The sequence below is a fragment of the Homo sapiens genome, chromosome 4 (genome assembly GCF_000001405.40).
Source record: "Homo sapiens chromosome 4, GRCh38.p14 Primary Assembly".
NCBI lineage: Eukaryota > Metazoa > Chordata > Mammalia > Primates > Hominidae > Homo > Homo sapiens.
In genome coordinates this window covers 77,569,021-77,595,030 of record NC_000004.12, presented here as the reverse complement: position 1 = coordinate 77,595,030, position 26,010 = coordinate 77,569,021, and the positions used below count along the sequence as shown (strand labels likewise).

Here is a 26,010-nt window from a genome sequence, read left to right as displayed (position 1 = left end):
TTCTGACTCATGGCATTTGTCTATTTCTGTGATGTACATACTCTTACCGTGGCCAATTTTTTTCCCTCTATTTTTCTGTATTTTATTTTCTAATTTTTATTATTTTTTAAAATTTTATTTTAAGTTCTGGGATACATGTGCAGGACGTGCAAGTTTGTTACATAGGTAAACAGGTGCTGTGGTGGTTTGCTGCCCCTATCAACCCATCACCTAGGTATTAAGCCTCACATGCATTAGCTATTTATCCTGGTGCTCTCCCTTCCCCAGCCTCCTACCCCGACAGGCCTGAACAGTGTGTGTTGTTCCCCTCCCAGTGTCCATGTGGATTATGGCCAATTTCAAACCACCAAAATGAGGTTGTTGAATGTGGACCTGGGAAAGATGAGCCCCATGGCCCTCACTGGCATCAGTATGCCCCTGGACCTGCCCAGCTGCCTGTCAACAGAGCCCAGGCCACTGTGCCTGGGATTTGTGACATGAAATGTTTTATTATGGCCAGAGGGAAGCTTTTGAGCTATGTTGATGCCCAATAGCTCTAATAACAAGCTGCTAAAATGGGTAATTTTGATGCAAGTATTGGGGGACTTCCTGACCAGCCTATTGTCTCATTATTTTAATTGTTGTCCCTGTTTGTAGAGGAGACAAATGGCTCCAGTGATCTGTACTCCAGATAAGTGGTGCTACCAGGACCTTTGCCCTGGGCTTGAGGTACTTAAGATGGCTCTGTGGACCCAGGTTTTCAGGGCAGAAGGAGAAACTGGACCTCTATGGACTTGAAGCAAGTTGGCTAAGAGCTCACTCCTCTCGTCCTCTGCATGACTGACTCTGGCAGCCTCCAGAGATAGACATGCATGACTCAAGCCAGCTCCCTTGATTAAAAGTCCAGTGCTTTTTGCATCACACTGGAATGTGGAGCCCCCAAACACTTACACCTGCAGCATGTATTACCAAGAGGCAAATGTCACTTTTTAAAGCAAAACATCCTTGCCTACTACGGCATGGCTTTCATTATAAATTCCACATCAGCCAGCAGCAATGCTGACCTTTTGCTGCTGCTCAGAGAGAGGCACTGCCCCAGTTTATCCTCTAACTCAGCCCAATCTCTGTGTTCTGTCCTTAATAGCTGTTAGAAATACCCCTGTCTTTTCACTTTCAAGCTACCACCTCTGGGGTAGCACTCGTCCTCACCTCTCCTCGACTGGTTGATGACAGAGCTTTTTGCCCAACTGGTGATACCACTGTGACATATGTTCTTCTCTGCAAGAGCACCCTTGTCTTCAAGCATGCCAAGATTTTCACCAGAATCAAGAGACCTAGATTTAACAGCTCATTCTTCTTAAACTGACCATTTAAATTTTGAGTTCCAAATGTTCTCATCTATAAAAAGGGATATGCAGGGATATTACAAGAAGTTAAGGTATGCGAAAGTGCTTAATAAAATGTGAAATGATTTTCAAATTTAAGGTAGTTTTCTATCTCATCATTGCTCCGCTTATGCATTTCCATTAACTTTTATTCTGGAGTCGACTTCCTCAAAGCCACATGAGTTGACCAGCTTTGCTTTGGAAGGCCAAGTCTCACGGGGATGTCCACTCATTCATCGTGATGGCACCAGTGACGACTCTCGAACTTAGGTATGATTCCTAATACAGGGCACATATGGGAGATGATGTGATGCAATGATTATTACTGCTCCTTCTTACCATAAATTGGAAGTGATTCTGTTCTTTCAAGCCTTGTTGGCTTTTAAAATGTTTAATTTGAGGTTAGAAACAGTTTCGTTTTGTCAGAAAGTGATTAATCATAGGCATAATCAGGGAAACAGAGTGTGCTTTTCAGTTTCTACTTTCTGCTCGCCTCTGTAAGGTCAAGCATTTCTTACCTTGTTGGTGTGGGAAGAATCGATGAGGGAAAAAAATTGCCTGAGACCACTGAAATTCAAAGGAAAGCCAAAAGAACAGACCTTCAAGAGGGCTCTGTTCTAAGTACAAAGAGAGGAAAGAGATATGAGTTAAAACCACAGCTCTGCCACTTGTTTATACGTTATTAACCTCTCTGAATTTCTTCCAACTTAAGTTGGAGTTAATTCATAATGCACATTTAGCTGCCCAGCATTCAAAACTTCCTGTTTTGGAGAAATCTTGTGTAAATCTTGAGGGACAATGAGGCCCCATTTCCACTATGAAATCTGAAAAGGCCCCTGGCAGCCAGTACACAAGACCCAGGATGGCCAGCTTCGTGTTCTCACTCAAAACTGAATCTTGAGTGATGAAAGTCTATGTCTTCACTGGATTGCCCCTGTGGCATGATCTTGGCATGGTTCCTTGCTGCCCAGCTCCCCCTGGTTTCCTCAGTCCTTCAGCCTTGCCAGGGATTTCATGAGCTGTCCAATGTCCTTTCAATTATTTATTTAATTAATTTCATTATATATTGACAAACTATAATTGTATAGAATTATGGGGCACACAATGATATTATGATATATATAGTGGAATAATTGTATCAAGCTAGTTAATATATCCATCATGTCAAATATTTACCATTTAGTCCTCCTGTTAAACTGAAACTTTGTACCCTTTCACCAATATCTCCCCATTCCCCTTCCCCCAACCCCTGACAACCACCATTCCACTCTCTACTTCTGTGATTTCAATGTTTTCTTAGATTCCACATGTAAGTGAGAACATGTATTTGTCTTTCTATGCCTGGCTTATTTCACTTAGCATAACTAAGTGTATCCATGTTGTTGCAAATCATAGGATTTTCTTCTTTTTAAGGCTGAATAGTACTCTATTGTGTATAAGCACCACATATTCTTTATTCATTTATCTGCTGATGTACACTTAGATTATTTCCATATCTTGGCCATTGTGAATAAAACTACAATAAACATGGGGGTGCAGATATCTCTTTGACATACTGACTTCAAATCCTTTGGATAAATATCCAGAAGTGGGATTGCTGGATCATGTGATAATGATCCAATTATTTCTTTTCTGATCAAGGTGGCCAGAAATGTTTTTGGTGTTGCTTCTTTGTCACTGACAACCTAGAACTCTGTAGACAGACATTATTCCCTTTTTACAGATAAGAACATTTGGAGCTCAGAGTTTAAGTGATCAATTAAAGAAGTTAAAGAAGAATAAGTTCTCAAATCTAGATGTCCTGATGCCAAAGTCTGTCATTCAGTGGATGTTAGTTGCACAGTGACTGTGCACAGGCACTTGCTGGCAGCAGGGCCACAGTGGTGAATGGCGTGGATATGAAGCTGGGGCAGGGCTGTGCCAAGTGTGGCCTGGGTCCTGTTGGCTGATCAGGGTCATTTGGGGCACTTGTACACATGTGGATTCCAGAGTCCAAATTACAGAATCAAAATTTCTGGGGATTGGACTAGAGAAGCTGTGTCTGTTTAATTCACTTCCCAGGTGATTATGATAGTTGCTAAAATTTGAGAAACTTTTTTTTTTTTTTTTTTTTTTTGAGATGGAGTCTTGCTCTGTCATCCAGACTGGAGTGCAGTGGCGTGATCTTGGCTCACTGCAAGCTCCGCCTCCCGAGTTCAGGCCATTCTCCTGCCTCAGCCTCCCGAGTAGCTGGGACTACTGGTGCCTGCCACCACGCCTGGCTAATTTTTTGTATTTTTTAGTAGAAACGGGGTTTCACCTTGTTAGCCAGGATGGTCTCAATCTCCTAACCTTGTGATCCACCCACTTGGCCTCCCAAGGTGCTGGGATTACAGGCGTGAGCCACTGCGCCCGGCTGAGAAACATTTTTAATATGGTGACACCAGCCATAATTAGTATGTGTATATAGTAGGAATGTATATATATCTAAATAATAATAGTATAACAATAATGATAGTATAATATAATAGTACAGTATATGTAATAAATGGTACGCCCAGGCGGGTAGATCACTTGAGGTTAGAGTTTGAGACCAGCCTAGCCAACGTGGCAAAACCCTGTCTCTACTAAAAATACAAAAATTATCTGGGTGTGGAGTGCATGCCTGTAATCCCAGCTACTTAGGAGGCTGAGGCACAAGAATCACTTGAACCCAGGAGGCAGACCTTGCAGTGAGCCAAGGTAACACTACTGCATTCCAGACTGGGTGACAGAGTGAGACTCCATCTCAATAAATAAACAAATAAATAGTATGAGACAGGTAACATTTCTTATTAATAAACTTTGCATGGCATAAAATAGCATTTAACATGCCCATTCTGGTCACAAAATAAAAATACTGGCCCTGTACTGGGGCCTGGAGCAAAGAACTACACATGTGCCAAACCCATTTGAATTTATAAGACTATTGTAATCCTGCTCACAGAATGAGTGTGTGACATCTCCACAGGAGAGCGAATAATTCATGGGCTACTGTCATGCCAATGGACATTGTGTTGACTATTCGGTTTTCTATACAGGAGCAGAAAAAGAAGGAATGGCCATGTGACTTATGTCCATGGAAAACCTGTTCTTGAGCGTTTTTCCAGGTAAGTTTATGATTCATATTTTGATACTGTGTTTCACTTTACTGAATTATGCCACATGCAATTCTGTTGAAAATCATTTATTTTAAAAAAGAAATAATACTTGCATTAGCTGAAAGAACTGGAATATCAAACTTCCTGTAAACTGCCTCTGTGAATCCCCCACAGCTGTCAGCTTCTTTGAAGTAGGATGGTGACTTTTGACCTTGGCTCACTTATTACGCTGCTGGGAAGAGAAAGACTTTTACCTTAGGCTGCTTTTTCCTCCTATGGAAACTGGTTTCTAAAGACAGAAGAGACATTCCCTAAAATGACATTTCTGACATGTGTGGTAGGTGGTTAGCAATTTATATATAAATTTAGGATATTATCCTCTTCTGAATTAAAAATATATCTTACCTTTTCCCGGAGCCACGCAGTACAAACGTCTCTGACTACCTTGGAACTCCTCTACATATTCCAAGAGGCTGTAATCCTATGTTAATAAAAATGATCAATAGGCTTCAATCATCAATATTTATAGAGCATTTACCTGGGCCACGTACTTGCGGCATATGGGAGATGCGAATATGGGGAATGTATATGTAGGTGTTTGGGATAATTAAAAAAGGAGAGAAAAGTGGAATTACTATTCTGATGGTAACACAGGCAGTGTTTCAGTGTGTTGTCTGTTGAATGGAATGAACCTCTTCCTAATTTCCTCTGTCTAATTGATGCGAAAGAAGCACTAGACAGCTTGGGCCAGTTGAAAACATGAGTATCTGTCAATGTCCATGTCTCCAGAAAAGCATATAATATCTCTCAAACACTTAACAAATGCCAACTCTGTGTCAAGCACTTGGTGTTCAGCCCTGAGGTCAGAAAGTAGAACTTTGGTAGATAGTAGTCCCCCCACCTTATTCGTGGGGTGTATGTTCCAAGACTCCTAATGGATGTCTAAAACTGGGGATAATACAGAACCCTATATGTACTAGGTTTTTTTTTTCTGATACATACATACCTGCCTACAATAAAGTTTAATGTATAAATTAGGCACGGTAAGAGATTAATAGTAACAAAACAGAACAATTATAACAATATGCCAGCATCACTACTCTTGAGCTTTATGGCCATTTTTAAGTAAAGTAAGGGTGACTTGAACACAAGCACTGTGATACCGAGACAGTAGCTCTAATAACCAAGAAGGCTACTAAGTGACAAAGGGCTGGATACATAGATGGTGTGGATGTGCTGGACAAAGGGATGATTAGTGTCCCAGATGGGATGAAGCAGGATGGCATGAGATTTTACCACACAACTTAGAACAGTGCACAATTTAAAACTTATGAATTATTTCTGTAATTTTCCTTTTAATAATTTCAGACTGTGATTGGCTGTGGATAACAAACTGCGGAATGCGAAACTGTTGATAAGGGTGGACTACTGTAACTCTGGACAATTTCCTCAACTCTGCCCAATATCAAAGGAAGGCTCTTGTAAGCATTTCTATAAATTGCAAAAGGTATATGTTCTATAAGCCTTTCCAACCACATCGGCCTAAAATAGAAATCTAGACAGAGTGAAAATAGAAGTGGCTAAGAGGAAACTGCTTCAACCATGGGGGTAATTTTCATTTCTGGTAGTCATAAAAGGAAATTTTCTATCCTAGTCTTCCTGAGTTTGATTCACCTCCATTACTACATGTAGTGGTTTTAATAGTAGTGAGCAGTGATTGCTATGGGAGAGTTCAGCTTTGTTCTCGTTTATCTATGCTTGAGAAGGGAGGGTTGGAAGTGGTCAGAGCCCAAGAAATTAATCCAGGAAAAGAACCAGAGAAAGAGGATCTGTGAGATGGATCAAGAGAATGAAGATAGAGCCAGATTCATGTCTCAGGCTAGAGAGAACTGAGTATCCAAAAGACAGAATATTAGCTAGGTAGGTAGTTGTGGAGAGAAGCTCCACTGTTGACAAATACACATGCCAAGGACAAATAAGAAAAAATTACATATTTAAAAATAATTCTTCTGCTGTGCTCTCTTAGCAGGCTCCAAGCATTGTCAGTGATGTGCTACAAAGAGGAACAACTAAGCTGACACAGATATGAAGGCAGCAATGACACTGAACTGCCAGAATAGTGATCCTCAAAGGTGGACAGGTGTCACACCTGAATCCCTGGGGGTCAGGACCAATCAACTTCCCCGCCTACCCCAACCGTGGCCACTCTTTCTAGTCATAGTTTATCTTATGCCTCAGGGGCAGTAATGGGGTTAAGAAATGGTAGAAAGTATGTACCCAAATTCTCAATCACATTTGATTGTTCACTAGAACTTTTTCTAAGAAGACTAAATGGTGAGAACGGGGGGATGGCCCTCCAGGAAAATTCAGGTAGGTGTCATAATATTTAATGAAAGAGGCATTTCCTTTTTTAATCCTTTGTAGGGTCAGAAAAGAAAAAAATTCAAGATATGCAAAGGAAGCCAGATCAAAATCCCCTTGGCCATGGATACTGGTGCCCTACATCAGCACCCTTCAAGAGTGTGGATGAGGCTGAGTAGGTGGGAACCTGCATCCCTTGAAAGAAGCAGGCAAGGACAGGGTAGTGACAAGTGCTGGTCACTTGTGAGGGCTGCCTCCCCATCCAGTTCCCTCTGCAGCCAGGAGCAGGAGTTGTTTCTGGCTCAAGCCAGCCCCCATGGCCGCCATTCCCTTATATGACCCTGCTTCGCAGGGTAACGTACCAGACAGTTTCACGCTCGTTATCCTTGCAACGGATTACTCGGTGAGGAGCATCAGAGAACTGAAAAGACAGACTGACTTCGACTTGAATCCTGGCTCTTCCTCTTACTAGTTTCATGGCCTTGGGTATGTTACTTGTTTTCCTGGAGCTTTGTTTTAATAATCTTTGAAATGGTAGTCAATGGAGAATTAAATGAGATAAAACAGGTAAAATATTTGGTACTGTACCTGGCATACAGTGGAAGTTGAATCATGATGAATATCAGTTTTTGTGAAGGATCCAATTAAGCAATTCTGTCTCTCCCTCCTATGAGCCACCATTGTACCAAGTACCACCTCCAGTATTGTATCTACCCCTAAGGATCACCATTGTTTATTTTTGCACGTGTCTCCTTAGCTGGACTGTGAGCTTCCTGCAGAAAGAGAGCAAACCTTACAGCTTCGTATTCCTTAAACTGTAACCAGCACATAGTATATAACCAGTGAAAGTTCGTCATATCCCCCTGGCTCCTCTGCTGACTGAATGCACAAGTGAATGAACAAAGGGGATGGTGGTGGGGAGAAATGAAACTAGAGATCTTCAGTTAACCAAAGGGAATGTTCCAACAGAGCCCACTTTTCTTGTTTTGACTGGTTCGGCAAGTAAGACATCAGACTTACCGGATATTGTTCAGAGCACTGTTGACTAACTTGTTGACAAGGGATGTCTGGGCTGCATTATAGCCAGACAGGGAAGGCTGTTCAAGTTTCAATACTAGGTTCCTGAGTTAGGAGTGACTAAGCAGCAGCCGCCCCATACTGCCAAGCTACCGTGTGGTTTCACACCATCTGTCACTTGCTGAAGAGGACGGAGTCCCCCCTAGAACTTCCCTTATTTCACTACCACCTACTGCAGCTGGGTCTGCAGTTTGTAGGCAGGAGATGTGGGGGTCAAACTATACTTCATTTGTGCCCAATTTTCAATTGCTATCTAGACTCTTTTCCTCTCTGGACTTTAACCTTTGCTATAAAATTTCCCTAGAGCTTCAAAATTGTACCCCGAAGTGCCCCTGACTAACATCAAGCATATATGAAGATAATGTCTCAGTACTCTATTTACAGATGGAAAAATGAGTTATTCCACTGAAGCCAGGAAAATCCATGCTGGCACCCTAGCAGTCCATCAGAAAGTCGTTATTTCTCCACTGTCAGAGATCCTGTCCTGAATATGCAGCCTAGCACAGCATGTTATGGAGGTAATACCCATGTCCTTTGCCCAAGGCGCTTGCTCTTACTTGTCCTCGTGGGCACAGTGGAATTCTAAATCATCGATGCATACTGCCTGTTTTGTTAGGTCCCTTTAAGTTCATATTCAGCTGACCTGGCAAGAGATATGCAGTAAACTTTGCTCAAAAACGTTAGGACCGGAGATATAGCAAACTTCAGCAAAGATGGAAAGAACCATCCTGCCAACATACCGATTTTAAGAACAGCACTCTCTCACCAAATTCAATTATCTTGTTACTCAAAAATATTTTTTACATGTGATTTCATTGTGTCCCTTTGAGAACAGGGAGAACAAGTAGCTTATCTAGGATGGCATTGGTCCAGGCCTCTTATTCACAAAATATGTCAAATTTAGACTTTCACCTTAACTTCAAACGAGGTTATGCATATGGTCACTGAGATTCAGGATAAATGTGAAAAGGACTTTTTTCTCATGCAACTATACAATTACCCCATTATAAAACTGCACAGCCTGAATTAATTTTTACAAGTCATCACACAATTATGTTGCATTGTTTATAGTGTTTCACAAGTGTTAATTTATTAAATGTAAACACTCAAAATATACTATATTTTTGCAAGCCTGTTTTGACAGTTCCTCAATCAATGTACTGGGGCTCAACCTCTGGGAAGTGCTAGGTCTGAATTATCTTTGTGATGGTAAATTCCAAGTCCACAGGAGAACCAGCAAGTGTAGATTTCATCCCTCATGATGAGGCCTGCCGCGTGCCCTATGGAAGCAGAAAGATGATCACTCAGCTGCTTTGGGGCCTATTATAGCTTCTCAAATATTTTGAAGTACCCAAAGCATAGATAACCAGGTGTTTTACCACAAAAGTCTAGTTCTAAGAAAATATTCTTCAAGAGACTATGGTGACCTATCATTAGTCATTGATTAGGTTTAAAAAGCCATCACTTTAGTGTCCACTGGGTGACACAGCGTCTCTCTGAGACTGGTGTAGGAAAGGAAAGGAGTGGCAGCTCTGAAGCAAGCACAGAGCTAACGGCAGCTTTCACCCATCAGCAGGTCAAAGGCTTTGTTACCCAGACTGCTAGTTCTCGTTTTTGTGCATGTTATGAGAAAGACTCACACGATGTGGCTGAGGACGTTTAGGAATCAGTAGTGCAGCTTTCTGGACAGTAAATGGCAGCCAATGACATCAGCCGCAACCTGCTCTGCAGACCTTGAGATTTAATCATGATTTAAATAAACATCGTTTGCAATAATTTTTCATTAAATTAAAATTCCTGATTCACATTAACCAAGTCCCCCTGCTCCTGTGCATCCATACCTGAAGAGAGGTTTTAAATAACCAGAATGCTAAGATCAAGATTTTTATTGAATAAAGAAGCCTTTCTCCCAATTTTTAAAGCCAGGTTTCAGAAAACAGCTTTGATAAAGCCTGTTTCCAGTGGCCTGATGGGATTCCAGGATGCAGTCATGCTGTAAGATGGTGGCCAGACGTGTGTGATTTGGAGCTCTACTTCAGGAAAGCTTGCAAGTAGTCATGAGCTCATGGCAACATGATGTGCTCAGCCAGCCATGAGCACACTTCATTTGAAGTCTTTAAAGAAGAAAAAATCTTTAGAGCATATATTGGGCTCTAGACAAGTGTAAGTCATATTTGTCATGAAAGTGGCCTTAGGGTTGGGGTAATTGAATCTTATATTCTTGGATTGTGATGCCTAGTATTTCTCCTTCCTTTTGCCATTAGTGAAAAAAACCTAGAGGAGAAAAAGCAGATTGGCATTCCCAACTTTTCTCCCAGCACTCGCCTGAGGGGCAGAAGCCCTTGACTGGACTTTCCAGCTTTTTTCCAGGCAATTTCTTCCTGACCCCAGCTTTCCCAAACAGTCAAGGCACTGGATCTTCTGGGCTGATCATCATGCTCCTTCTCCCAACTCAGCTCACTCCTCAGCATTTCCTGTGCCCTAGAAACTCAAATTCAGCCATGGCTTCTATCCAGTGTCTCCAAACTGTTAAAAATGTCTCTTCTAAGGAGAACTCAGATTTTTAGAAGACTTTGAAACAATCTAATTTTACTTTCTGTCAAATGTTGAGATTATTTTCATTTCTGGTAGCAGCTGAGGAAAGAGTGTTACTTTTTGTATTTTTTGCATATTAGAACAACATCAATGAAATATTTTACCTGAATGATCTTCTTCCCTGTTCTCAACCCACATGAGTCCCATCAACTGTCTAATGAAGACAAGGCATGCTGATGGACTTAGGGCATGTTGGGGGAATGGTGAATAGACCAAGGCAATAAGAACAGAACTGTGATGTGAGAGGAGTTGGGAAGGTGCGTGCTCATCAGTGGTTGGGATACAAATCTTGAATAGCCATCTATTGTGGCCACCATAGTCTTTGAGGAATGATATTTAAAGACTATCTAGGCCATGGAATCATGTTATTGGTCTGTGCTTTGGCCCTACACTTGAATGCAATGTCCTAAATCAATGGCATGGAATGGACCTCCACCATAGACTCCTGTTGCCCCTTCATTTTTGAGAACAATCTCAGTGGCATCCTTAGCCCATTTCCACTGGGTCTTACCTTGCCTGTCTGCCACTTTCTTAGTTTTAAAGGGAAGTAAGTGGGATTTAGAGGGAAAGAGTGTCCCATGTAGTTCCCTGCATGGGCTCACTGAAATCCCAAACAGCAACAAACAACAAAACAAACAAAGAAAACAAAGCAAATAATAACAAACTCACCTAGCCCATGAAGAGTACCTTATAGATCGATGGTTATCCTTCATTGCTAACAGGTGCCACTTATAACGGCCTAGAAAGGACCTTGATGGAGATAAGCACCTAGAGCTTTCTCTGCCAGTCAGAGGACCCGGTCAATGCAAATAAGAATTTGTGTGCTGTTTCATTGGTGAAGTGACAACAAAGCCCCATAGCCATTTGTATTCTTATTGCAGCTGCCTCTGGGATCAAGGGAAAGGAGAACTCAGTACCCTGAGGTGCACAAAAGGCACTGCACAAGAAGGCCCACATTGACGTGCAGAAGGAAGTGAAGAGGAAGGAGTGATACATTCTGAAATGGTTGAAGAGTATGTTCAGGAAAATTGTTCTCCAACCCTTACTCTCCTTTCTTTCCTTCTCTATTGGAGGCAGTGGCTTACACAGTGGTCATGCTTGAGTCTGGCTTTCAAAACATGAGAGTGGCAGGAGTAAGGGAGCAAGAAGAGAACTGTGTTGGGAGATGAAGGATGGAAGGCATCACTCAGGGATTTTGCATCCCTACCAAGCTGCATACCTTGGCTATATTGATCCCTGTTTCATTCCCATGGAAAGAGGTTGGGCCTAAATTTATTCAAGTGGTCCAGATGGACAAAAAATAAGCCCTAAGAGCAATTTCTAGCCCAGGGATTAAAGTAGAAGCTTTCCCAATGGCCACCTTAATCTAACTGTGGTTCTTCCTTGGCTCTCTGACCTAAGGAAGAGCTGAGGAGGGCACATGTCACAGTTAGATTATTCAGTTTGTCTAGAAGGAAGCATTTCAAGGCTTTGTTGCTTACATTAAAAGCTTCAACCCCAGTAACAGCATGACTATTATAATGGCATCTTCAGCCATGACCTAGTTATGAGTACCTTCTTCTTGAATTTGGAGGGAATGGAGGAAAGCCTTGAAATTTTCTGAGTTTGGTTGGTGTTCCAAAAGTCCACATTCCTTCTGTTGATTTCATTGTCTACATATGTTGGAATCTGGTAACAACCACCAACTCTTACCTACCCTCTGTCAATAACTTACTAATTAGAATCCCTGTCTCTTCCCTGGCCCCCTGCACCAATTCTTCATATTGCAGCAGAAGCATTTTTAAAAAATATGTTGAAGTAATCATGTTATCTCCCTTGCTTTTAACTTTCCATGTCTTACTATTGGCTTTAGGATAACAAACCTCTTACCATGACCTGCAAGATCCCGTCTGATTTATCTAGACTCATCTTTCACCACTCTCCCCTTCTGTATTCTCTTAGTTCCTACGTCAAGCTTCCCCCACGCTGGTTTTATTTTTCTGCCTGGAATTTACTCTCTTGCCCTTGCTCTTGCTCTCTCTCTCCTCACTTTCTATGAGAAGAAAAGCAAAGGATGAGTAGAAATGAACTGGACAAACATAAATTCCCCAGGAATGTCTCCCCTGATCCCACTGCCTACCCGATCTAGGTCACCTTCCTTTGTTATTGCATGGTCTCTTAAGAATCATACTGTCTCTCTTGGAGTGCTGCCCAGTTAGTAATTATATATTCATCCAATATGCCACCAGACTATAGACTCCATGAGGACAGAGGCTTTGTTTGTCCACAGGGCCCAGCTTTATTGAATGAGTGGGTCAGCTCCAATGTATAGAGGGAGGGGGTATTCATCCTTGAGGGAGATCTACAAAAGATCAGAAGAGCTCTGTCTGGGAAAAACAAGAGAAAATCCACTTTCCACCGACTTTTTAAATTTTTATATTAGGAGAATAGAATGATGTTTTTTTTCTTTCCATTTTTTTCTATGTTTTCCAGGCCGAAAAAAGGCAAAGCATTGAGGAAAGTGAGAACTGAGGAAAAGGGCACTGGATTTGATGACTCACTACTCTCCTTTAGTGAACTTTAATAGAAGAGTTTCAGTAGAGTAATAGAAACCAAAATTGCAACCAGTTCAACGAGTAGGAGGCAAAGAAATGCCAGTGAACATAGATTATGCTTGAAATGAATGCAAGAGATGAGACAGCTGACTTCAGAAAGCAGCGGATTCAACAGAAGATTGTTTAATTGGCTGACAATTTTTATGATAAGAAAGACCAGAAAAGGTCTATAGGCTAATGGGGGAGAGGATAGTGGGAAAAGATTGTAGAGGTTTGGGAGGTTTTTGTCCTCAGATAGGAGGAAAGAGAGAAGGTACATGGCACCTAATACATACTCAATACGTATTTGTTGAATTAAAAAGGATCTAGTTTGGAGGATGCTAACTCTTATGGGGAGTAATAGTATAATAATTAAGTCAAATCTTAGCAAGAGGTGGTTCCTGGAAGAACTCAGGTCTCATTTGAAGGGATCCCAAGATCCCTTGAGCCAGGCACTTCTCCCCATGCAGGAATATAGAGCCATTGATACCAGAGATTCTGATGGCAAAAAGCTGGATTTTTGTGGGAGATTTCTTTATTTTTAAACTTTGACAACTGTTTTAAACAACGTTAATCCAACAAAATAGCCAATATTCAGTCAATTGGCAACCACTTGGTAACTTGTATTTTAGCACATATTTCTCTAGATCATACTTGCTTGAATGGCATTTAACAGTTTTATTGATATATAATTTACAAATACAATTCACCCATTTAAAGTGTACAATTCAACTGCTTTTAGAAATTTCCAGATATGTGTAACCATCACCACAGAGCATTTAAAAAATTTTCATCACCTCAAAAAGAAACCTGGGGGTTCTTTAGCTATCACTCCCCTATTTCCTCACTCCCCCAACCCCAAGCAACCACTAACCTACGTTCTCTATACATTTGCTTATTCTGTATTTTATTTGAATGAAATTGTGTAAAATGTAGTCTTCTGTGACTGGCATATTTCACTTAGGGGATAGGTTTTTTTTTGTTTTTGTTTTCAAGTAAAGAAGTGAGAATGTGAAAAATTTGGAGGGATTTTAATCTCAGTGAAAGGGAAGGCCAGGGGGTCTCATCACAGGAGAAGAGGAGAGGAAAAGGGAGAGGGGAAAGGAGGAGGGGAGGAGAAGAGAGGGAGAGGGGAGGGAAGGAGAAGGGGAGAGGAGGGCAGGAGAGGGGAAGGAGGGAGAGGAGGGGAGGGGAAGACAGGGGAGGAGAGGGGGAGGGGAGGGGAGGGGAGGAGAGGGTGTCTAGGCTAAAAACCATCCTCCAGAAATAAAGGAAAGGAAAAGCCAGAAATAAATCCTGAAGGCTTTATAAGAGCCCGGCTGGGCATGGTGGCTCACACCTGTAATCCCAGCACTTTGAGGGGCTGATGGAGGCGGATCATGAGGTCAAGAGATGGAAACCATCCAGGCTAACATGGTGAAACCCCGTCTCTACTAAAAATACAAAAATTAGCTGTGCGTGGTGGTGGGTGCCTGTAGTCCCAGCTACTTGGGAGGCTGAGGCAGAAGAATTGCTTGAACCCGGGAGGCAGAGGTTGCAGTGAGCCAAGATTGCACCACTGCACTCCAGCCTGGTGAAAGAGAGAGACTCCATCTCAAAAAAAAAAAAAAAAAAAAAAAAAAAAAAAAAAAAAGAAAGAAAACTTGTCTTTTTAAAAAATATATATTCTATATTCTTTATTTTAAAATTTATTTGTATAAAATTGTAGGTTTAAAAGTGAAATTTTGTTACATGCATAGATTGCATGGCAGTCAAGTCAGGGCTTTTAGTGTATCTATCACTCAAATAATGTAATTGTACCCATTAAATAATTTCTCACCATTCATCCCCTTCCCACTTTCTTGCCATTCCAAGTCAAGAGCCCTTAGTTTTAATAATCAACCTGCACCTGGCTGATAGTCAGCTGGTTTGTACAGTTTGGCTATATCAGTGGTTTACACAGCCAAGGTCTGATCTGACTCTCTGTGTCTATGCCTGGCCTGTGGTTAGGAATGATAAATATCACCCTGGATTGGCATAGCTATTTTTCAGGATGTTACCCTTGAGTAAGTCGTTGGTTCTAGTCACCAGCATTGCTCATAACAGGCAAAAAAGCAGAATAATCTAAGGCTCCCTGAGTGCTTAGCGCTAACACATTTGGGGTTATTTGCTTGTACTAAAGAGATTGATCTAAAACCTTCTCTGCAAAGAAGCAGAGCATTTTCAGGTAGCTGAGTACATCATTTTTAAAGGGGTAGCAGGTCTAATTTCTAGGGCTTGGCACTCATCAGAATTAAAAAAAATAAAAGGTCCTTAACAGCATGCCAGGGAGACACAACTTTGGAATTTTTAGTAAAACCACAGAGTAGAGGAGTGTCTGTAAAATATGCAGTATGAGTCAGACACATAGCTAATAGGGATTACTAGACTTCTGGGGACTCCAATAGCATAATACATTGAGAAAACCTTAACTTTCTAATTAGAATATAATTCAGTCTGGAGAGGGTCACTTCACAAAGTGTTGAGGCTGTAATTGAATTAAAGGACAACCTTTGGGAGGCAAACGGCCTGCATCCTTAGTGGGGTGAGCAACAGCAGCAACACTTCCTCATCAGGAAAATGGTCCTTATTCAGCTTTCCAAAATTCCACCCAGAGATTGACTCCTTAAGAGCCTCTGGGGGTTGGGGGGAAAGCAAGCATTTTGTTTGTATAAATTGACATTAGTTAGAATTGGATGAGTAGCTGAGGGCCAAAATGTGGGTGCCTTCAGTGAGACAGTGGGGCATTTCCCAACAAATGTCAGTTTGGAGACCATCCACAGCTGATGGCAGCTCTTCTCCACAATCCAGGCACTCAAGGCCCTATGGCCTCACTGCTCTGCCATCCTCAGAGTGTAGCCCTTGCAGTGGCTGGAGTTCCAGCCTCAAGTTCTCATTTGCTGGGGCAGGATCAAAGAAAAGATGATGAAGGAAGTTCAAAATGCACCTTCGGTCTCAGAAACTGCTATGCGACACTTCTGCTTACATCTTACTGGCCAGATGTAGTTATCAAGCCATATTCAGTTGCAGGAGAGGTTGGAAACCATCAGCTTTATTCTACATGATTCTATACCAGGTAAAATTTGGGGGTGTGATTATGCTGCAGAGACCAGAGAATAAGAATGCTGTTGCAGAATTTTTGCTCCTTAGTTCAGCTAAAACTGGGTTCTTGTCACACAACCAGGAAAGATTAGGCACATGGACACATTGAAGGGTGGGTAGGGTTGAACTTATTAGGAGAGAAAAAGAAAAAAGAAAAACTCTCAGTACAGTGAGAGGGTGTCCTGCTAACAGGCCCCCACCTCACAGATTGATTCCAGGCCACCACACATGACCTGAAGAGGTCAGACTCTTTCCCCCTACAGAAGGCATGAAATTCTCGTGGCTCCACCCCATTCTCCCAGTGCACAGGTGGCTCAGAGATTCTCCAGGGACCCTTCCCCTTATCTGCCTCCTGCATCTATCATTCCCTGCCTAAAGAAGTACACTTAACTGCTATTAGAACAAAGATAAGGATAAGAATGAAGGCTGATCTTAACTGCTTCCTGCTGACAGGGGGCGCTGTTTTGGGAAGGCAGAAGTCAGAGCTCCCTCAGAGGGCTATCTAAGGGTCCCTGGCAAACAGGGCCATCATCTGTGGCTCCAGTTGCATGACTGTTTGGAGTTTGATAGTCTAAAGGTGAGAATAGACAAACCAGGTTATTAGGAAACATATATCAAAATAAAACAAGGGGGGTGGATAAAGTCAGCTCAAGAATCCTGAGGCCTTTTACCAGTTTGCACAGGGAGAGGGAGGCCAAAATCCTGACTGGTAAAAAAGGACTTTTACCCTTTTGCCAGGATGTCAGTCTTCTGGGTTCCATTCCCCAGGCCCAATCCTAAGCCAACCAGTTTAAGGTTTGGGAAATTGAGTTTTCCCAGTTTGGAGGATGCATCTGAGGGGAGTGTCGCATAGTATGGAGACATGATTACCTATCAGTGAAGTGAGGACAGAGGAGGAAGAAGGAAAAAAGGAGGTTTTTTCAAAGGAGTCCCAGGGGTTCAGGATGCATCCGAAAGGGGTAAAGTCTGAAGGTGAATAGCTACTCATCTAGAAAGAAGGGAGCAGGTCTCCCTGGTTCCCTTCTCTTCCTAGCAAATACCCGAGGTACATGAGGGAGAGAAAGTGAGATATTCCTCTTTCTTTCTTCTGTTCTTATATCCCTGAGTCCCAGTGACCATTACAGGGTGCTTGCTACTCATGGGCATCAAAGTGGCTTTCACTCATATTAATGGAAAGGCCTAGGTGGTGGGAATATCCACTCTGACCCATGTACGTCCTACCTCCACTGCTGTCAATAGTATTTGCATTTCCTAGACCTCATTTATGCCATGGATACTAGCATGACCTTTATCCATGAAATGGGAAGCTTGGCTTAATTGGCAGGAATTAGTCACACTCACCTGCACTGTGCCTTTTAACTTCCATTATTGTCTGCCTCCGGACCCCTCAGATCTAGTTTTCTTTCTTAGGGCTTCAACTCAAAGCTTAGAATTGAGTTTGGGACCAAAAATGTGTCTTGGTGGGGGTTGGATGAACTCCTTATTATAATCCAAATGCTAAGGTGAAGCTATGGAATTGAGTTCTCCTCCAACAAGGCAGGTTAAAGGACAACCTGTGACACACCCAGATAACTGGTGGCTATGGTTAAGGAGGCTTGCTAAGATTTGGGTGCATGATGCTTGGCTTTGGTTAGCTTCCTTGCTCTTACCTCCCAAAAAGAAAACCTCCAGGTGATGGTCATCCTATTTTTTCCCATCACCTGGCAAGATTTGCAGGATAATTGCTCAGAATTAGAATATTGATCCAGATTTTTACATTACCCATAAAAGCTATCTATGCTTTTGTTCCTTCTGAGCTGCAGTCAGAGGTCACTGGATTGTTCACGGGAATAAGCAGGGTTAGTCTAAGATGTAGGCAAAAACTTTAAAACAACTAATGAGTCTGGAATTTAATGACAAATGTATGATAAGTTTGGAAACATAATTTCTCTCTCTCCAGTCCTCATTTCTGCTAAAAACAAATCATGATAGGACGGAGTTGTTTGCAAAATAGACTTTAGGCTTATAAGTCTTATACTTGGCCTGATTATTTGTGTACAGTGCAGCAAGAATAATTATTTTTACATAAGCCTTTTAGATTGACTTTGATGGAACTCTGTTTCACAAGGAATCTCAGATAGGACTTTTTAAAGCTGAGCCCATCCATGGGTTTTTGCCATCAAATACCTATGAGCTGGGTAATCCTCTCCTCTTAAGGTCCCAAGATAAACCTGGAGCTCCTGGACCTGTCAGAAAGTGACATTTTTCACTTACCACAGGTCAGGAACCCTGGACAAGGATGGTGTAAACAAGGTATGAGGCCAATTTTCCCAAGGGGCTTTTATCAGCTTTGCAAGAAAGTGGATTCTTGTTGCACTGATGCAAACAATTATATTGCCATAAGTTAAGAATACTTGCAAGTAGTTTCCAAATTCTGGAGAAGCCAGGCAGAGAGAGACAAATATGCCCCAAATTTTGGTCACAGGAGTATAACTTACTCAATTATTAAAGGCCATAAATAGCTCAAAATAAGTTTCCTTGACTCTGAAGAACAAAGCAAGGATCAGCAATGTTCCAAGCAAAAGCAAAAAACATTACTTCAGTTTTCTATTGGTTCAGTCCATCCAGTTAACTCTAGTTTTGCTTGATATTTGTAAACATTTCAGCTCTTCATGAGTCCTGTACATTTTTCCTTTATTCCAACGTCATAATCTCCAAAATTATCAGAAACCTGCATTTGAGAGTACCTGTCAAAGTTCTGTAGCTGATTATAAACCATCTTTTGCAGAGGATCAAAACAGTACAATTTTCTGTGAGTAGCAAAATGTCCAGGGTAGTTACAGCCAGTAACATAATTGACAAAGAAATTTGGTTATCTCTGTGGTTTACAATAACTTAACATAACAACCTTAATTGTGATCAATAGCATATACTCAGACATTAGAATTTTAGAAACCCCATACAATTTTGGAATATATGTTAATATTTTTCACTAAAATATAACCTAAAGAAAATTGAACATCATTTTGGCAATCCCATGTACCTAAACATGCCAGGTAATCCTGTTTACCTCTCTTCTGAATGCTCTAGGGGCCCTCTGTAGCATTAAAAAGCTAGGTGTCAGTAAAGCTAATTTTGAAACTGAAGTTTGATTCTGGGAAGCCTGTTAAATGTTGGAGGTTTACATGGAATACTATGCAGCCATAAAAAAAGATGCATTCATGTCCTTTGCAGGGACATGGATGAAGCAGGAAACCATCATTCTCAGCAAAATATCACATGGACAGAAAACCAAACACCACATGTTCTCACTCATAACTGGGAGTTGAACAATGAGAACACATGGACACAGGGAGGGGAACATCACACATCAGGGCCTGTTGAGGGGTAGGGGGCTGGGGGAGGGATAGCGTTAGGAGAACTACCTAATGTAAATGATGAGTTGATGGGTGCAGCAAATCAACATGGGATAGATACCTATGTAGCAAACCTGCATGTTGTGTACATGTAACCTAGAACTTAAAGTATTATAATAAAAAAATAAAAAAGTTGGAGGTTTAAAACACTTGATGTTATTAGATAGAATTCCGGATTTCCTTAAATTATTTACTTTGCCAAAATGATGACTCAGAAATTTTAAAAAAGCAAAAACATTTTATAACCCTTTACAAATTTTGCTTAAGAGCTGATTAGTGCCTTAAGAGTACCCTGTGTTTTTATTTCAATGCTTAATTTACAGGAAAACTATACAATAACCTTTTGAATTTAGTTAATATGTTCACACACAGAATTTCTTTTGCAAGCTAATTTTTACAATATTTTCACAACTTGTTTGAACTTTCAGCATTATCTTTTCTAATTCAAAACAACCCTTTAGCCCTAGGTAAATATTTACATTTTGACAACATCTACATTGCCAATAATCTTTAAGGCTGTTTTTATTTCTCAAAGATTAAAGTTACATGAACTTAAAGGGTACCACAGCTTTTATCTTCCCTTTAAAAAATATTTGATCCAAGCACTTATTCTTCTTTAAGTCCATTAATTAGAGCTCCTTGTTATAGACATCACACACACAACGGATATCTAACTACACAGACAGGCAGAAGAAAACCCAGTAGCCATCAGATTTTTCATTGCAAGAATGTTCCTCCAAGACTAGTGGCCAACCCAAAGCCAATCAGCTCATTCTATAATCAGCCCATCTCCATTTTCTGTCTTTTAGGTGCCCAATAGCACCTTTTTAAAAATTTAAATAAAAGAAGAAAGAAATATTGGCCTGTGGTAATAATGACTCACTGTAAGCAACTGCTATTAGCCATCCCTGAAAGTATATGTTCTACCTAGCTATTACACACCAAGGCTAAAAGTTGTCTCATAATGCAAAGTAATTTCTGATACCCCCAAAAGTCAAAAAGGTGAGGTAACATGATACAAAATATAGGACGGCCGTAGATTTTGAGACAGACCTGTCCACTTTCAATTACTGTGGTTCCATGAAGAAAACAGGTTTTCCCCAAAATGGGGTCTGTGGCACCTTCTCTGTTTATCCCAAGGAGTTCTAGGCTGTCAGAAATTATAATAGGTCCTCTCATGGGACATTGAAGGTGATAAGAAGACAGATTGGGGAAATAATCCAGTTGACTGAAAAGAAAAACAAACAAACAACAAAAAACAAGAGCCAAGAAGAGAAAAAGCATAAAACTTTTTATCCATTTTTAAGATGACTTTTAACCATACGCCTCTTAAAAAAATCCTTTTATATCTCTAATTACCAGACTCTAGCTAGGACAAACAGCCAACACCTCTGGCTTTTAAGCAAGCCCTTTGTTTTCCTCAAAGATATTTTTCTAATTGAAGCCAATAAGCCTTAAGGTTATGACTTAACCATGGATGCACAAGGTGTCTCTAAACAGATGGCACATGGTTTTCACAAGACCTAGAATCACCCCTAATGTCCCTCAAAGAAAAGAAAATTCAAGTCAGGAAATCAGAAGCTATCCATGGAGGGGAAAAGAATAAATAAATTGTAAAAGTCCCACAGGTATCAAACCAGAAAGAATTCATTCCCTAAGCCAGGAATTGAACCCAGGCCACCATCATGAAAAAGCAAAGCCTTAGCTACTGAGCTATAGCATGAAGTGAGTGCCATGTTGTTTTTCCTAAATCCGTATTTTAAACCATACTTTAAATAACATCTGAATTGGCCAATTTTTTTTAAAATAAAAGAATATCTTCTTTGGCATATTTTATATACAGAATTACAAATGAATTTTTAGTAACCTTAAATTTTAGTGAACTTAAGTCATGTGAACTTGAAAAATGCTTGGACTTCTTTAATTTTTGGGAACACTTATTTATAAGCCAATTTGGCACTCTGTAGATACAATATATGACATAATGTAAATACACATAAAACACATTTAGACATACACACACACACACACACACACACACACACACACACACACACACACACAAAAGACCCAATAGCTTTTTTTCTTGGAACTCTAGTCTTGAGATAGTAACACAAACTATTTCATAAAATATAAGTGGATTCAAATTATTTCTCTTAGAAAATTTCTTTTTTTTAAATTTAACTTTTATTTTAAGTTCAGAGGTACATGTGCAGGTTTGTTACATAGGTAAACTTGTGTCATAGGGGTTTGCTGTACAGATTATTTCAACATCCAGGTATTAAGTCTAGTACCCATTAGTTATTTTTCCTGATTGTCTTCCTTCTCCCACCCTCCATTCTCTGATAGGCACTAGTGTCGGTTGTTTCCCTCTACGTGTCCATGTGTTCTCATCATTTAGCTCCCACTTATAAGTGAGAACATGTGGTATTCAGTTTTTTTTTCCTGTGTTAGTTTGCTGAGGATAATGACCTCCAGCTTCATCCATGTTCCTGCAAAGGACATGTTCTCATTCTTTTTTATGGCTGCATAGTATTCCATGGTGTATATTTACCACATTTTCTTTATCCAATCTACCACTGATGAGCATTTAGGTTGATTCCCTACCTTTGCTATTGTGAATAGTGCTGCAATGAATATATGTGTGCATGTGTCTTTATAATAGAACAATTTATATTCCCTTTGGTATACACATAGTAATGAAATTGCTGGGTCAAATGGTATCTCTGTTTTTAAGTCTTTAAGGTATCACTTCACTGTCTTCCACAATGGTTGAACTAATTTATCCTAACAACACTTTATAAACATTCCTTTTTCTTTGCAACCTCACGAACATCTATTTTTTTTTGACTTCTTAATAATAGCCATTCTGACTGGTGTGAGATGCTATCTCATTGTGGTTTTGATTTGCAGTTCTCTAATGATCAGTGATGTTGAGCTTTTTTTCATACGATTGTTGACCACATGTATGTCTTCTTTTGAAAAGTGTCTGTTCATGTCCTTTGTCCACTATTTTTTTTCTTTTTGAGACAGGGTCTCACTCTGTCACCCAGGCTGGAGTGCAGTGGCAAAGTCTTGGCTCACTGCAACCTCCACCTCCCAGGTTCAAATGCTTCTCATGCCTCAGCTTCCTGAGTAGCTGGGATTACAGGCATGTGCCACCACTCCTGGCTAATTTTTACATTTTTAGGGGAGATGGAATTTCACCTTGTTGGCCAGACTGGTCTTGAACTCCTGACCTCAGGTGATCCACCCACCTCAGCCTCCCAAAGTGCTGGTGTGTCCGGAATTGGTGGGTTCTTGGTCTCACTGACTTCAAGAATGAAGCCGCGGACCCTCGCGGTGAGTGTTACAGCTCTTAATGTGGCGCGTCTGGAGTCTGTCCCTTCTGATGTTCAGATGTGTTCGGAGTTTCTTTCTTCTGGTGGGTTCGTGGTCTTGCTGGCTCAGGAGTGAAGCTGCAGACCTTCGCAGTGAGTGTTACAGCTCTTAAGGCAGCACATCTGGAGTTGTTCATTCCTCCTGGTGGGCTCGTGGGCTCGCAGGGCTCAGGAGTGAAGCTGCAGATCTTCGCGGTGAGTGTTACAGCTCATAAAAGCAGCGTGGACCCAAAGACTAAGCAGTAGCAAGATTTATTGCAAAGAGCAAAAGAACAAAGCTTCCACAGTGTGGAAGGGGACTGGAGCGGGTTGCCACTGCTGGCTCCGGCAGCCTGCTTTTATTCTCTTATCTGGCCCCACCCACATCCTGCTGATTGGTAGAGCCCAGTGGCTTGTTTTGTCGGGGCACTGATTGGTGCATTTACAATCCCTGAGCTAGATACAAAGGTTCTCCACGTCCCCATCAGATTAGTTAGATACACAGTTTCGACACACAGGTTCTCCAAGGCCCCACCAGAGCAGCTAGATACAGAGTGTCGATTGGTGCATTCACAAACCTTGAGCTAAACACAGGGTGCTGATTGGTGTGTTTACAAACCTTGAGCTAGATACAGAGTGCCGATTGGTGTATTTACAATCCCTGAGCTAGACATAAAGGTTCTCCACATCCCCACCAGAGCAGCTAGATACAGAGTGTCGATTGGTGCACTCACAAACCTTGAGCTAAACACAGGGTGCTGATTGGTGTATTTACAATCCCTGAGCTAGACATAAAGACTCTCCATGTCCCCACCAGAGCAGCTAGATACAGAGTGTTGACTGGCGCATTCACAAATCTTGAGCTAAACACAGGGTGCTGATTGGTGTGTTTACAATCCCTGAGCTAGATATAAAGACTCTCCGCATCCCCACCAGACTCAGGAGCCCAGCTGGCTTCACCCAGTGGATCCCACACCGGGGCTGCAGATGGAGCTGCCTGCCAGTCCCGCGCCATGCGCTCACACTCCTCAGGCCTTGGGTGGCCGATGGGACTGGGCACCGTGGAGCAGGGAGCGGCATTCGTCAGGGAGTCTCGGGCTGCACAGGAACCCACGGAGGCAGAGGAAGGCCCAGGCATGGCGGGCTGCAGTCCCGAGGCCTGCCCCATGGGAAGGCAGCTAAGGCCCGGTGAGAAATCGAGCGCAGCACCGGTGGGCTGGCACTGCTTGGGGATCCAGTACACCCTCTGCAGCTGCTGGCCCGGGTGCTAAGCCCCTCACTGCCCAGGGCCGGCAGGGCCGGCCGACCGCTCTGACTATAGGACCACCAAGCCCACGCCCACCCAGAACTCCAGCTGGCCCACAAGCGCTGCGCGCAGCCCCAGTTCCTGCTCGCGCCTCTCCCTCCACACCTCCCTGCAAACTGAGGGAGCCGGCTCTGGCCTTGGCCAGCCCAGAAAGGGGCTCCCACGGTGCAGCAGTGGGCTGAAGGGCTCCTCAAGTGCTGCCAAAGTGGGAACCCAGGCAGAGGAGGCGCCGAGAGCAAGTGAGGGCTCTGAGGACTGCCAGCATGCTGTCACCTCTCACTGGGATTACAGGCATGAGCCACCATGCCTAGCCCTTTGCCCACTTTTTAGTGGGATTGTTTGGTTTTTTTCTTGTAAGTTTATTATAGATGCTGGATATTAGACCTTTGTCAGAGGCATAGATTGCAAAAATTTTCTCCCATTATGTAGGCTGTCTGTTTACTCTGTTGATAGTTTCTTTTGCTGTGCTGAAGCTCTTTAGTTTAGTTAGATCCCACTTGTCAATTTTTGCTTTTGTTGCAATTGCTTTTGGCATCTTCAACATGAAATCCTTGTCCATTCCAGAATGGTATTGCTTGTATTTTCTTCCAGGTTTTTATAGCTTTGAGTTTTACATTGAAGTCTTTAATCCATGTTGAATTAGTTTTTTTATAAGGTGTAAGGAAGGGGTCCAGTTTCAGTCTTCTGCATATGGCTTACCAGTTATCCCAGTACCATTTATTGAATAGGGAGTCCTTTTTCCATTGCTTGTTTTTGTCAGTTTTGTTGAAGATCAGATAGTTGTAGGCATGCTGCCTTATTTCTTGCTTCTCTATTCTGTTCCATTGGCCTATGTGTCTGTTTTTGTACCAGTACCATGCTGTTTTGGTTACTGTAGCCCTGTAGTATAGTTTGAAGTTGGGTAACATGATGCCTCCAGGTTTTTTCACTTTGTTTAGGATTGCCTTGGCTATTTGGACTCTTTTTTTGGTTCCATATGAATTTTAGAAGTTTTTTCTAGTTCTGTGAAGAATGTCCTTGGTAGTTTAATAGGAATAGCATTGAATCTATCAATTGCTTTGGGCAGTATGACCATTTTAACGATATTGATTCTTCCTATCCGTGAGCCTGAAATGTGTTTCCATTTGTTTGTGTGACCTCTGATTTCTCTGAGCAGTATCTTGTAGGTCTCCTTGTAGAAATCTTTCACCTTCCTGGTTAGCTGTATTCCTAGGTACTGTGTGTGTAGTATGTGTGTGTGTGGCAGTTGGGAATGGGATTACATTCCTGATTTGGCTTTTGGTTTGACAGTTGTTGGAGTATAGGAATGCTAGTGATTTTTGCACATTGATTTGGTAACCTGTGTCTTTCCTGAAGTTGTTTATCAGCTCAAGAAGCTTTTGGGCTGAGATTATGTGGTTTTCTAGGTATAGGATCATGTCATCTGCAAACAGGGATAGTTTGACTTCCTCTCTTCCTATTTGGATGCCCTTTATTTCTCTCTCTTGCCTGATTGCTCTGGCCAAGACTTCCAATACTGTGTCAAATAGAAGTGGTGAGAGAAGGTATCCTTGTCTTGTACAGGTTTTCAAGGTGAATGCTTCCAGCTTTTACCCATTCAGTATAATGTTGGCTGTGGGTTTGTCATAGATGTCTCATTATTTTGAGGTATGTTCCTTCAGTACCTAGCTAAACTTGTTTCTCATTTGAATTTGCTCCAATTGCTTAAAAGGCACCTTAGTGACAAGTCCTTTGGGATTCA

At 41.7% G+C, this 26,010-nt stretch overlaps 1 protein-coding gene and 1 long non-coding RNA gene across 3 annotated transcripts in view; one reads left to right on the top strand and one right to left on the bottom strand.

Moving 5' to 3' along the window:
* The window catches only part of CXCL13 (C-X-C motif chemokine ligand 13), a 100,082-nt gene that overhangs the window by 16,804 nt on the left and 57,268 nt on the right, over positions 1–26,010 (bottom strand). The gene's annotated exons all lie outside the window — the stretch shown is intronic.
* LOC105377296 (uncharacterized) lies at positions 1,426–14,145 on the top strand. 2 transcript variants are annotated; one of them, XR_007058151.1, is made up of 9 exons: positions 1,426–1,634; positions 4,424–4,492; positions 5,852–5,964; positions 6,510–6,623; positions 6,908–7,330; positions 8,306–8,439; positions 9,844–10,084; positions 11,398–11,529; positions 12,989–14,145. It is a non-coding gene; the product is annotated as an uncharacterized LOC105377296 (long non-coding RNA). The 2 variants fall into 2 exon arrangements; XR_938912.3 differs by lacking the exon at positions 9,844–10,084 and having other exon boundaries at positions 6,510–7,330.